Below are 13,818 nucleotides of genomic sequence, written 5' to 3'. Positions count from 1 at the left end.
CACTGCACTACAGCCTGGGCTACGAGAGCGAAACTCCCTCTCAAAAAAAAAAAAAAGAAAATTATTTTGACAAACACTTACTGAGCACTTATAATGAGACAATATGTTACGTAGGCCCTGGATGCATAAGGCAATGACCCCTTCTTTGAGGAGCTCATAGTTTTGGGGTGGTGGGGAAAACGGATACTTTCTAACTATGTAACCTTAGATAAGCTATTCAGAATCTCCAAGTCTCAGATTTGTCATCTGTAAAATGGGGATAATTATAGTACCTACGTCAGAGGGTTGTTGTAAGAATTACATAAATATGCCAGGCATGGTGGCTCACACTTGTAATCCTAGCACTTTGGGAGGCTGAGGTGGGAGGATCATGGGGTCAGGAACTCGAGACTAGCCTGACCAACATGGTGAAACCCCGTCTCTACTAAAAATACAAAAATTAGCCGGGCATGGTGGCACACACCTGGAATCCCAGCTACTCGGAAGGCTGAGGCAGGAGAATCGCTTGAACCTGGGAAGCAGAGGTTGCAGTGAGCCGAGATCACGCCATTGCACATTGCACTCCAGCCTGGGTGACAGAATGAGACTCCACCTCAAAAAAAAAAAAAAAAAAAAAAGAATTACATAATATACTCTATTTAAAGCGTGGTGTGCGCTGAAAGTGCAGGTATAGAAACAAAGATTTGCAATGTACTGAGATATATGTCAAAATAAAGGGGGACAAAGTATGATGGAAGGAGAGAAGAGTAATTAATTTGTCCTAGAGGGAAGAGGGGGTAGCAGAGAAGAGGTGAATTTTGTCCTGAGATTTCAAAGGCAAGCAGAAATAGCAGATCGTCTGTGGAAAGACAGAATTTAGTGTGTCTGGAAAACAGAGCAGACTGTGGTGGCTGGAGCACAAGGCTGAAGGTGAGAGTTGAGGCAGCTTGGGAAGGGGCTGTGGTGCATCAGGTTGCAGGGCAGGACTCAGGCAAGAGTCTCCCAGCCAGGCTTAGAGATGAGGCTTTAACTTGCAAATGCCCAGGAGGAGGACTCCAGGCTCTATGGTGCAAAATGCTTGGCAGAATAGGGCTCAGAGGGGAGGTTGGTGCCTAAAGAGATACTTTCACCCCTCTCAAAAATCTGCTCCGGGTGGGCCCTACTACTTAGTTCCTCAAGGAATTTCAGTGAAGCCAGATCATCAGAATCTGCACTTGCCAATAAACCAGCAGTTCCCCTTGCTCGGAAATATCCCAGAAATCTCATCCATCGCTGACCAATGAATGTCTGCTTGGGGAAATTCAAAGTCCTTAGGGTCAACAACGTGCTTCCTAGCTGGTGCGTCTGATCCCAGAAAGAAGTCTCCACAGGAGTCTTGGGCAGGCTCTGGGCTCTGTGTGTGCAAACAGCTGCTTTGGTTTAAATATTAATAATGCAAAATGAAATGTGTGGGGTGCCCGGCGCACCAGAGCCCAGCCAGTGTGCGTTGATCTAATGTCCTCTGCACTTGGGTTTGGAAAAATGTGGTCAGTGAATTTAATATAATTTTTGGCAAAGGGAAGATGACAGTTAACTTCTCTCCCCAGTCTCGCTAATGTGGGTTTTCTCCCTGAAAAGCAGAGGACGGAGAGTGGTTTCTCCCAGGGTGCCAGCAGGCCTGCTGCCCAGATTCTGTCATGGCCCCTCGGCTCTGCCACCTTGACACTGGCAGAGGGCTTTGGGGGCCACAGAGCATCCCACGGAGGGGGAATTGGAGAAGTAGCTAGACTTGTTCAGGACCCAGCAGGGCCTGGGTGGGGCTGAAATCCTAGTTCCTGCTGGCTCGGGCTCCTCCCTCCAGAACATTCTCTCCCCATTTCGTGCCTGCTTCTTGGATTGCCCCTTCCTGCTGTTCATTAGCAGAGCTCATGGGGAGAATGTTGGTGCCACTGGGCTGTCTGTCACAGGGCTGCCGAGATTGGACAAATGAATCAAGGTCTCCACAGCCCTCATGTCAGACCCTAAGCGCTTTGCCTCCCTCAATCCCACTGCATTTTTTAACCCTGGGGAGGCTCTGACTTGGCTGCTGTGAACAGTTTCCCCTCCATTCCTCCTGCACCAGCCATCGCCACAGATTGTGGCCTCTTCCTCTTCTCCAACATCCCAGGCCCCGGAGTTTCTCTCGCCAAATGCCGCAAGTCTCAATTGGCTTCTTGAGAAGCTCATAAATGCTTGGTGACATCACGGTCCCCAAGTTGGGGAGCAAGAGTGCATCAGAGGCCAACATTTCTGAGGAGGAGAAGTCACAGGCTCTGGGATTGCCTAACAAAGGCACCCTGTGTGAGCGTGGTCACAGTACCACTGTTGCCGCCACCACAGAACTGGAACCGAGATGGCCAGGGCTTCCCCAAAGTCTGTCTCTGGTTTTATGCAACCCAGTAATGTTCCCCACTAAAGGCCTGAGCAGATCATCCTGCAGTGAGGGCCAGGAGGCCCTGCTGGTGCTCTTGCTGTGGCCCACTCTGGGGGGTCCCCCAGGCTGCTGGGAGAAAACAGTTACCCCAGGGCTCCTCAGGGGTAAGGAGTGGACAGGAGGCAACAGAGAAGCAGCCGTGCCCAGGGTGGGTGGAAGCTGCACGCACCCAGCTCTGGGGCTCCAGCTGTGCCCCAGGCTCCAGCTCTCCTACCCGCCCCCCTTGGCGTCCGGCCCTTGGGGAAGCTGAGAGAAAGTCTCGCCTGTTCTGGATGCCGCAGGCAGGATCGGCCACAGTGATCTCCTTCATGTGTCACCGCTGGCTGTAAGCGCTGTGTTTGGTTTGGCAAAACAGCTATTTAAATAGCAGTGAAATGTGTCACTGGAAAAAAAATTAGCTCATGTTTCCTTTGCCATTTCTTCATGATTTCCATTAAAAGTGTAACCAAGGGTAATAAATTAACAAGATCTGTAAAAGAGACCATAGGAAACCATGGATCCAGAATTCCCATAAACTTCTAACCCATGGAGCTAAAAAGCAAGGCTACTTGGGGGAAGGGGAATTGGATCACCCATACTTCAGTTTTCTTTGTGTCTGATTCCTACTCCTTGCCCCTCCCAGCCCCCCGAAATATGAAAGGAAAGCCTCCACTTCTTTCAGGGGTTACTGTGGTTATCAGGGGTAAAATTCTTCACTTGGAAACCCCAAAACCTGGGGGCATTGCTTGGCACTTCCTGTTTCATAAGAAAAGCAAGAAAAACCAAACAAAAATGCTACCTCCCTACCAAGATATAATCCTCTTTCTCCATGTTGTGTCTGACCCGGTCCTAACCAGAGTCCAGTTCTTGAATTCTCAACTCTCTGTGGCAATCAGCCCTTTTCCCAGGGTGCTTGATGCCAGATTGCAGCTCAGCGTTGCAGACAGGAACACTGAGGTCAAAGGAAAATGTTTGCCTTTGACACAAAATCCAGTATCAATGGATGGATGAGGAGCTGCAATCCTCACCAGTGCTGCCATCCCCACTCTCTCTCCTCTGTCTCCCATTTCTCTCTCTCTCCCCTTGTCTCCACAATACTTGTTGTGCTGGGCTGGCACACAGGATCACAGTAGGGACCTGAGAGTCTTTCTGCAGATAGTAGGGTAAAACAGCTGCCACCAAGGAAGGTGGCCCTGAGGAATGTGTTTGTTGTGACAGACAGTGGAGGAGCCAAGGGAGTGTAACTGTTCCTTGGCTCCCCATTGAGTGTGGGAGCAGTGCCTTACCCAAGGGTTGGGAGCATGGGGGATAGGACTGGAGGGCGTGTTAGTGTTGCACCCAAGACTGAGAAAGGGCAGACGGCCAGAAGAGTGTGCCCAGTGTTACACGCGGGGCTAGAGGAGTGGGGGAGAGGACTGGAGGACTGTGTTTAACACAATGCCCAGAGGCTGGGGGAGTAAGGAACAGGACTAGGAGTGTGTTTAGCATTATACCTAGAGGCTGGGGAGGTAGGGGTCATGATTGAGTGTATTCAGTGTCACACACAGAGACTAGGGAATGGGCGAGAAGACTGGGGGAGTGTGTTCAGTGTCACACAGGACTGGGGGAGGGGGACAGGACTGGGAGTGTGTTGAGTGTTACACCCAGGGGCTAGGGAAGTGGGGGACAGGATTGGAGAGTGTGTCAGTGCACCTGGGGTTTGAGGAGTAGAGGAGAGACCTGGGGGAGTGTGAGTGTCACACACAGGGCTTGGGGAGCAGAGGAGAGGATCAGGGTAAGTGTTCAGGGACTGCACTGGGGGAGTATGTTAGTGGACCACACAGAGTCAGGATAGAGGGTCTGGCAGGAGTGAAGGGAAGGCAAATGGAAACCAATTCATCTGTTTTTGCCTCTGGTTCTCTGTGGCTGTTATCACTCTGTTCTTCATGGTCTGTTGTCCCGCTGTCCTTCCTCAATTATCCCTTTCATGAACCTCTCAACCCACCTTTATTAGTTCAATGTGATGCATCCATTTGTCTCCTGTTAGGTGGAAGATGGCCTGAGAAAGGGGAGGTTTGTGCTGTTTTTGAAACCCCCGGTCATCCAAGCCCCAGGACATCCTCTCTTTCTGGATCCCAACTCCTCTTGCACAGGAGACCCTGGACTAAGACGGAGGTTTGTGCAGGCCATGTCTTGCTTTTTTTCCTAGAAGGCAGTGGTGTGGAATGTGGAGGCTCAGGAAACTCTTCATCATAATGAAATTAGAGAGGGATTTGAAATCAATGTCTTCCTCCACTGATTTCCATTGGCATCTCCTTCTTTTGCCCCCAGTTCCTGAACCTTTCATTCTGTCCTCACAAACACCATCCTCCATTGTCAGTTTTACCAGCCTCTTTTCCCTAGGAGTATCTGGCTTTGTTTGCTCATCTCTGTCTATGACACCCAAGGGACTAGCTCCTTGATAGGTCAAGGGTATGCAGCCCTCCCAAACTCCCTCTGGGATCTTGGACCCCAGAGGGAGCCCTTCCCTTTCAGCCCCAGGCTGAGGGCACTGCAGAGGCACCTGCTGTAATGAAAGAGAAACATCTGCTTGTTTTGTTTACATTTCATCCAGATGTTTGGGTGCCATATAGATGCAGCCTGTGGGTTGTCTGAATGCCGTGACTGGAAACTGAGCTTCCCTCTGCTTGGAGCAGGGAGGCAGAGAGGGAGGGACTTTGAACTGAGAAGGAAATGGGGCTGGACTCCAGACCCTGACTGGGGATGGGGTGGGGGAGGGGCAGGAAGGCGCGACAAGGAAGGTGGGGAGGATTGCAGCCCAGCAGTGGCAACAAGTGGAAGGAGATTGCTCATAAACATTGGATCTGTTTACAAAGCCACCAGTGGAGGCAAGCACTTGCCAAGCCTTGATTTTGAAAAACTGCCCTTTCTAGTGTTTTCTAGCACTTCCCAGATACCAAGTGAGGGCCTACACTGTGCTCTGCAGGCCTCTCCTACACCCCTGACCCACTGCTCTCTGCACATCCTGGTTCATGGTTGGGAAGCAAAGAAAAGCAGCTCCAGGGCCTCTAGCCCAGAGCCCAATTAACAATGCCTGGCAGTGAGCATAAATCACCACACTCCCCCTTTTCCTGGGCTCGGGGCTGGAAAGTATCAGAACTGTGCAAATACTTGGGATGTTTCTCTTTATTAGTGATAAAATATTGGACGTCAGCGTGCGCCATTTCATGCCCTGCCTCCGACAGTTGGAGCAGTAATTGTGATGAATAGGGGCCTAGGGGCAGGGCTGTAGGCGTTTAAGAAGGCTCTGCGGATTGAAAATATTAGGATTGATTAAAGGTCAAATACTTTATAAATTTATCAGTGCTAGATACATTCTCCCCAGGTGGGGGCTACCCTTCCAGGCAGTTTAAAAAAGAACTCAGTATGGTTGAACGCTCTCCTGCCCCTTCCCTCCTGTCCCACCGTATTTAACCTACAAAACTGATTCAACAAGCAGACATTTTCCTGTAATTTGTGTGCCCTTTTGCATGTCCTGCCAGGAGACAAGTTCAGCACGGACATCTTTGGGAGGAGTCTGCCCATTTCTCACTGGAGAAAAAAGAAAAACTTCCCTGGGATTGAATCGGTGGAGATAGAAGCTGGTTGAGGCTTCCAGGCTGCTCTGAGATGAGCACAGAGCTTCCCAGGGACATTATCAGAAATAGCTGTTACCCACCCAGGGAGCACACAGGGCAAAATGGGGGTCTGGGCTGATTCTGTCTTTCCCAAAAGGACTTTCTGATTTCCTGTTATTTGATAAAGAGATCTTTGTAACTCTTTGACTGCTAGCAAGCTCAGAGTAAAATTCTGTTTCATCACCACAGCAGACCTCTCCTGCCTCCTTATGATAAGGGTTGTCTACTGAACAAATGTTTATTGAAGCAGGAAGCATTCTAGTGCTGGGGATGAAGTAGGGAACAAAATAGATGAAAAGCCCTGCCCCATGGAGCTTATATTCAAGGGAGGAGAGAAAAAATAAAAACGTATAAATTGTATAGATATTACATAATAATCAATGCTAAGGAGAAAGATAAAGTAGAGGAGGATAGGGAGTAGGAGGGCAGTGAGAGGAGATTGACATTTCGGAAATGATCAAGGAGGGCCTGTCTGAGACCTGGAGGAGGTGAGGGAGTGAGCCAGACAGTTATTGGGAGGAAGAGTGTTTGTACACTTGTTTTAATTGTGCTAGCACCTAAGTATTTCAGTATTGGTTGTCCTCATCCTTTTCGGAATTTGGTGTGGTATAAATAAAAACATATGCAGAAAACGAATGAGGTAAAATAGAACCTGCTCAGTGAAAGAGATTTCCAACACCCTAGGCTAATGGTTTGCGTCAGAATCACCTGGAGGGCTTGTTAAAACAAAAATTGCTGGGCTCTACCTCTAGAGTGTCTAATTCAGTGGGAGTCTGAGAATTTGCAATTCTAGCAAGTTCCTAGGTGATGCTGTTGCTTCGCTGCTGATCCAGGGACCAAAATTTGACAACCACTGCCCTAAACCAACAGTGCATGCTCACAGGTGAGGCTTCCTGGGAGAAGAAAACTTGGAGAACAGTTTGGGAAGAAGAGTAAAGAGTAATTTTTCAGTCTCATTCTTTAAAAACAAGAAACAGTGGATATTAAATCAGACTGTGGGCCAAACTACAGGTGGGTGAGCAATGGGCCAGTTGGTTGAAGTTGAAGCTGACATTTCCTCTTCCTCCCTCCAACATCCTGGGCTGGGACAGAGAAAAAAGAGCCAGCAGAGAAAGGAAGAACACCTGTACCTGGGCAGGTGTGTTGGCCAGCTTAAGACTTGGGAACTGGAAGACAGGGAGGCAGAAGGTAGAGAAGTGTTCCTCCCCCTAGACCAAGCCTCAGGAAGCTCTGCAGGTAAGGGACACACACACACACACACACACACACACACACACACACACACACACACACATTTCTAAAGGCAGCTTTCCCCAAAGGCACTCAATGTAACACTGCTATCAAGGGATACCCATCGCTGTCACCAAAAAATGATTCTTTTGTGAAACATGTTTAGATCACACTGAGTTAAACAAATTTCTTTATTGCAGGACTTCTCAGGCCCTCTAATATGCAAAGTGCACTGTGAATCTCCCCAGATGAGGATCTAGTATCCAGTGTTTCATAAACTTTTTGACTACACAATCATCTTTACTTTCTCATTTTACAAGACCAGTGTACAATGGGATATGCTTTGGAAAACACTGCTCTTGGGATTAAGTGGTCTCCTTTAAACCACACTGATGGGCAAAATGATGAAACCCTCACGCAGCCAAGAACTCTGAAAGCATCTTTCAGCAGACATGCAATCAGTCCTTTGTTTTCTTAAAGATTCTAGTTGCATTAGAAGGGTTCCTAACTCTGCCCAGGGTTCAGCACCAGTCCTTAGGTCCGCATGAGTCTTGGAGGTAAAAGCGTGGACTCCTGAACCTTATGTATTCAACATGGACAGGACTAGAAGATGCCATCACTCCCATGGATATCCGAGTCTTGTTCAAATATACTCCCGCTGCACAGAATGTGTAGAAGTGTGTGTTGACTAGCTGGGCCTGCAGAATTGATTGAACAGGGCATGGGTACTTTACCGAATCTGAGCACCTGGCTCCAGTCTGTAAGCAGGGCCTGTAGCACTGAGAAGGGGAGGGGCATAGAGGCACAGCTGGGTCTGGAGAACAGCAGCCCTGATATTTACGACTATGATGGTCCTTCTCTAGTGGACCTGCTTTGGAACATAAATAAACTTAATAGGCTTCAAATAATTGTGACAACTGAGTTTAAACCCCAGACTGTGGTCTAGGGCAATGGATGTCTCTCTCCAGAAAGCATCATGCAGTCATCCTGATGCCAAAGAGACAATTTCAGTCTTGAGCATAGCGGCACCATTGACTTGTTGGTCTTTGGGCAAAGAGACTGGGGATGGGGAAGTGGCCTTGGGAGTGAACCAGAGGAAGGAGGTCCATTCTTGCAGAATGTTCCAGTGTCCCAGGCTGAGATATATTACTTACCTAGTCCAGCCTCCAACCTAATGGGATAGATTTCAGATCTGACTCCTTCTTTGTGGGGAAGGGTAAGCCCATCCCTTTCCCCCTTCCCAGCCATTTCTAGAAGCTATTGCTGAGACATGTAGAATTATAGCTTTGGTTCAAGGCACAGGCATATTTTGAACACTTTCTGTGTGTAAGACAACATATCATCTTGTAGGAAAGAAAGACACATCTCTCGTACAGAGCAAACTGGGATAAAGGGCCATCATATAGAGTTATAAAGAAAACGAAGGAGATAACATGGATTAGTTTCTGCTGAATAGGGATGGGACTTTCCAGGGGAGGGAGAGACCTAAACAAAGGCATAGAGATGAGGGAGTACCAGGAATGTTCAGAGAACAGTGTGGTCGAGTGAGAGAGCAAGCAGAAAAAACGTGTTGGAGCCAGAACTCGAAGAGTCTTTTCTTTCTTCCTGCAGGATTCGGATTTCATCAAAGAAGCACTAGGAAGCACAGTTTTATTTTATTTTTTTTTAAAGTTAATACATGCATGAAGTCTTCAAACAACACAAATTGTATATTCACTGAAAAGTGTTTCTCCTTCTCATCCCTGAGCCCTAGTCACTCAGTTCCCTTTCCAGAAGCAGCTGTTATTACCAGTTTCTTGTGCGTTCTTTCAAAGGTATTCCATATCTTTGTAAACATATATGAAAATATATCTCCCTGTTACTTTTTAAACACCAATATTAGTATATTATATACACCGTCCTGTACCTTGCACATTATACTTAACCATAAATCTTGGAGATTTTTAGGTGGAGTTCACTGCATTCTATAGTTGATGTAATAAGACTCTATTAACGGACATTTGGTGTTTCCAATCTTTTGCCCCTTCAAACAATGATGGAGTGAATACCTTTGTATGTACATCATTTTGTGCATGTATCTATAAATTCATAGAAGTGGAATTGCTTGATTAAAGGGTATTTGCATTATGATATAATAAACTTTACATGAAAAAATTTCATTCAGGGGATAATGGGACCAGGTCTGTTTTAGGAAGGTCCTTTTGGATGATGGGCAGGAGAAGAGGCAAGTTTGGAGAGTGCTGTGATTAAACCAGGTGAGACCGATAAGGGGAAATAGAGTGAAGGGCAAGGATGGGAGAGACACAAGTAATTGATCAGATGTTACTAATAACATGGCAGAGGAGAAATCAAAGACAGCTTGGATATGCAGAGCCCCACAACGGGGATAGACTAACTAAGAAATAGGAGGTGTAGCTTTTAACATTTTCTTAAAAAAAAAAAAAAGCAACAACAACGGAAATGTGTCTGCGTAGGTAGGAAAGCAGAAAGCGAAAACACCACCACCTCAGGACCTCTAGAGCAGAAAGGAGACTGGTACTCAAAAAAAGGGGACATCTCCTAATGTCCCCTGGGGATAAGTTGATCAGAACCAGTGTGGTTACAGACAAGCAAAAGGTTAAGAGCATGAACGTTAGAGTTTTTGAGTTTGGAAACACCTTATGAGTTGCATTAATCAGTTTAGGTTTTCAGCTGGAACCAGCAATCATCACATTTCAGTGGCTAACGCAATAGGTTATTTCTAGCTCATATCACCATCCAATGCAGGTTGATGAAGGGGCTCTGGTGAAAACAGTTGTTTAGAATCCTGTATTCTTCCATATTCAGGTTCTACCCTTTCTAGGCCCTCAGAATCCTCTCCATTCAGTCACTGAATAGGAAAAGAGAGAATCATGTATGGGCAGAAACTGGAAATAATGTATGTCACTTCTATCCACTTTCTATGGGTCAGAATTCAGTCAGATGGCTGCATCTAACTTCACAGGAGGGAAAGTGACATCTTGTTGTGTACCCAGGAGGAAAAAAAAGAAATGTCTGATGAACACCTAGCCAACTTCTGCTTCCAAAACTATGAGTCCTGGGCAAATTATTGAACATCTCAGAGGCTCAGTTTTCCCATCTGTAAAATGGGAATAATGATACTATTACCTCATAAGTAGGATTCTTGTGAGAATTAGTTTATGTATGTATGTCGTCCACTTAGCCTGCCGTAAGTAGATGAATGACCATTGTAGCAAATATGTGTACATATTCATAGCATGAGTTATTTGGTTGTGACCCTATGAGAGCAATTGTGGTGGTTTTCCCAGCCTTTCTCTGCCCACTCCAGGTCTATGCAGAGAGAGGAAAGTTCAGTCTGTTTATGACTGACCTACCCCATTCTGGTCCCAAAGTAGATTTATTTTCCTGAAATAAATCATTTGGTTTGGCTGACTCCATGGATCAAATGCATGAGATTATTTCCAAATCTCACTATGCCTGGTCCATGTAGACAGAGCCATAACCTCTGCCAGGCAGCTCTGCTCATAGCATATGCAGGCTGCAGAATGATTCTTGTTCATTCTTTCATGTTATTCCCACACTTCAGAAGTCTGGAGGGAAGCTGAATGTTTGCTGTTCTGGGATCATTTGAAGCCGGGCATGCAAAGAGTTCCGAGTCACTTTCAAGTCTGCCCGTAGGAAATCTTTCCTGGCAACCAGACAACTAGAATTAGTTATTAAAGGCATGTCAAATGAATAAAGACACCTCTGTGAGGAAAACCGCAAGAGCAGTCACTTTTTCTAATATGAATAGGAGGCTAATATCAAATCACCTTTAATTTTCCACTCTTTCTTTGCTCTTTCGATAGTAGGTCAAATCTAATAATACAGATACAGTGGAAAACCATTTCTGTTTTCATCTATCACAGTACATATGCCCATTGCAGATCGGTGTCTTAAAAACCAGGGTCTGGAATTTAAATGAGTACCTGCACACTGACAAGGCTGTTTCCTCCAGGAATGTTCTGCTGGGTGCCAAGCTTGTGTTGCCCTTATGGGCTGTGAGAAGCTAATCCATGAGACAGAATAAAGCATGGTCTTGTCTCTATACCGTACACCCCACAGAGCCCAGGACACAGCGTTTGCTGAAAGGCAAGGATGACCATGAAGACCTAGCCACCATGTTCCACAAGGACCAGGGGAGAAAAGCTGTGGGAAGGTATTTTGTAAACACAAGTCTGCTTTCCAGATATGAGTTCCCAAAGGCCTGGTGAACTCTCTTTTCCATGTGGCCTATATTTAGGGTCACTGTAGATAGATTTGTGGACAGGGGGAGCTGGTGACCAACAGGGAGTGCTGTTTAGTGGTTAGGAGACTCCAGAATCTGGAGCATTGCCTGGATTCAAACCCCGGTGCTGCTGTGTTTTGTTGTTATAATGGGCTAGCTGCTCTGTTTCTCTGGGCCTCAGTTGCCTCATCTATAGAATGGGGATAATAATATCTACCTCGTATGGTTGTTGCAAGGATTAAATGAAATAATTCTTATGAAGTACTTAGAACAAATGTGTGGCATCGAGTAAGCTCTCCATGAATGTTGACTATTTTCACTAGTGTTATCAGCAATAATATTAGAGTTACCAACAGGGAAAGGATCCCTGGGTGGATGGGTTGCACAAACTCAAACTATATGGACTTCATATAGAAGGGAATTTAGTTGTTTTAGGGAAACAAATTAGTTTCCCTCTCGGGTGTAGCCACCTTGAAAGCTCTTCTGTTGGGTAGACATGACTTCAGGTTTCATGGTAAGATGGGGGAACTGCCTCCACACAAAAGCCCTCCCAGGCAGGCAGTTTCATATTCTGGAAACAGAGTTTTTCATTGAAGATCAGAAATACAGAAACCATCTGTCATTATCGGTTCAGGCTGCTACAACAGAATACCATAAACTGGGTAGTTTAAACAACAAACACTTGTTTCTCACAGTTTTGGAAGCTGGAAAGTCTAAGATGAAGGCACCAGCAGATCTGGTATCTGGTGAGGGTCCTCTTCATGGAGAGAAGACAGATGGCTGTCTTTTCTCTGTGTCCTCACATGACTCTAGTCTCTTTCTCTTCTTGTAAGGTCATTAATGCCATCATGGGAGCTCTATCCTCATGACCTCATTTAAACTGAATCACCTCCCAAACGCCCCACCTCCTAATATCATCCTATTCCGAATTAGGGTTTCAACATATGAATTTCGGGGGATAGAAACGTGCAGTCCATAATACCGTTTAACTGACCACGCTTACTCCAGTCTTCTAGAAATTAACCCCTCATCAGCTGAGCTCCTCAACAGGTGGGCTCCCTGGATAAGTCTTATGTTATGAGTTTTATGTGTCTAAGAAATTTGCATGCCTTTTTCTTTAATTTTTAAAGGCTGAGGGGTCATTTTCCAGCATTTGCCCCTGGACCTAAGTGTAGGCCAACCTTGTGGCTTACTTGGCCCTGATCCTCACCTTCAGGGTAACCCTTCCTTCTCCCTGGTAGCCTCAGGCCAGGGCGTGGCTCTCCTGCTTCCTTTCCATTGACACTGAAGGTGGATCTTCCATGGATTTTGGATCCACACCATGTGGCTGCTCTGAGGTTTCTGGGTTTGTTCTGGGAGAACAGAGATTGGTTGTGCCTCATAGTGCCTCAATTTACAGGTATAAATCAGGGGACAGGCAAGAGACTGACATACTCTCTGCAGGCAGTTAGCAAAGTAAGATAAGGTAAAGTAGCCAGGGAATTCAAGACAGAACTCTTAGCCTTTTTTGTCCTTGTGGTCTCCATCTTTGATAGTTTTAGACGCAATCACTGTTTAACTAACCAATCAGTATTGTGGCCTCAATTTTGTGCATTAGTTTCTTGATCAAAATGTGAATTAAATGAGAACAAGTTAAGACTTTTTTTGCTTGTTTGTATTCTCTTCTTTTTTCAAAAAAGAGATCTATTTTAAGGTGGCTAATTTATCCATGTAGAACTCCAAATGAAAATGGCAATGGAAAACTTCACTTTGATACTGGGATAAGGCCATCTGTTTGAATGTTTGCCTTTGTGAATCAAAGCAAGCAGTTGATTGCATTTGATTGACTGGACTATTTTTTTTCTAACTACTTGTGGTGCTCTAGAAACACAGCCTAAGGCCTTTGGCAGAGGATGGAGCCTGTGCGTGCATATGTGTGCACGTGTGTGCATGTGTGTGTAGAGAGTGGCATGTGAAGAAGCACTGGTGAAACAGAGAATAAAAAAGCAGAAGTGCCTGAGTACCTGCTCTGTGCCAAGTGCTTTCTTGCATTTAGCCCTTGTAACAAACCAAGGAGACAGATATTATTAGCATTGCATATGAGGAAACTGAGGTTAAGGAAGGCAAAATAGTTTGTTGAAGCTCCAGTACCAAGTAAGAGGAAGAACTGTGGCTCCAAATCAGTCTGTCTGACTCAGAAGGTTGAGCTCTTTTCATTTTGAGGAGGGAGGTGGGAGAGAGAGAGGAAGAGAGCCAGAGGAGGTAGGAATATGGAG

At 46.0% G+C, this 13,818-nt stretch overlaps 6 annotated features.

Annotated features, from left to right (window-relative positions):
• Positions 716–6,493: an enhancer, noted in NCBI's record as "VISTA enhancer hs2553". NCBI's record gives its function as "enhancer in: other[5/8]" and the evidence as "EXISTENCE:transgenic organism evidence [ECO:0001131][PMID:17130149]".
• Positions 1,093–1,387: a silencer, noted in NCBI's record as "tiled region #7216; K562 Repressive non-DNase unmatched - State 23:Low". NCBI's record gives its function as "represses a minimal TATA promoter and a strong SV40 promoter by Sharpr-MPRA in K562 cells {active_cell/tissue: K562}" and the evidence as "EXISTENCE:reporter gene assay evidence [ECO:0000049][PMID:27701403]".
• Positions 2,235–2,284: an enhancer, noted in NCBI's record as "active region_15630". NCBI's record gives its function as "activates an Ori minimal core promoter by ATAC-STARR-seq in GM12878 lymphoblastoid cells {active_cell/tissue: GM12878}" and the evidence as "EXISTENCE:reporter gene assay evidence [ECO:0000049][PMID:35858748]".
• Positions 2,395–2,454: an enhancer, noted in NCBI's record as "active region_15629". NCBI's record gives its function as "activates an Ori minimal core promoter by ATAC-STARR-seq in GM12878 lymphoblastoid cells {active_cell/tissue: GM12878}" and the evidence as "EXISTENCE:reporter gene assay evidence [ECO:0000049][PMID:35858748]".
• Positions 13,534–13,613: a silencer, noted in NCBI's record as "silent region_11392". NCBI's record gives its function as "represses an Ori minimal core promoter by ATAC-STARR-seq in GM12878 lymphoblastoid cells {active_cell/tissue: GM12878}" and the evidence as "EXISTENCE:reporter gene assay evidence [ECO:0000049][PMID:35858748]".
• Positions 13,624–13,673: a silencer, noted in NCBI's record as "silent region_11391". NCBI's record gives its function as "represses an Ori minimal core promoter by ATAC-STARR-seq in GM12878 lymphoblastoid cells {active_cell/tissue: GM12878}" and the evidence as "EXISTENCE:reporter gene assay evidence [ECO:0000049][PMID:35858748]".

This window comes from Homo sapiens, chromosome 2, assembly GCF_000001405.40.
Source record: "Homo sapiens chromosome 2, GRCh38.p14 Primary Assembly".
In the NCBI taxonomy this organism is placed as follows: domain Eukaryota; kingdom Metazoa; phylum Chordata; class Mammalia; order Primates; family Hominidae; genus Homo; species Homo sapiens.
The sequence above is the reverse complement of the archived record's forward strand: the minus strand, read 5'-3'. Positions and strand labels throughout refer to the sequence as shown.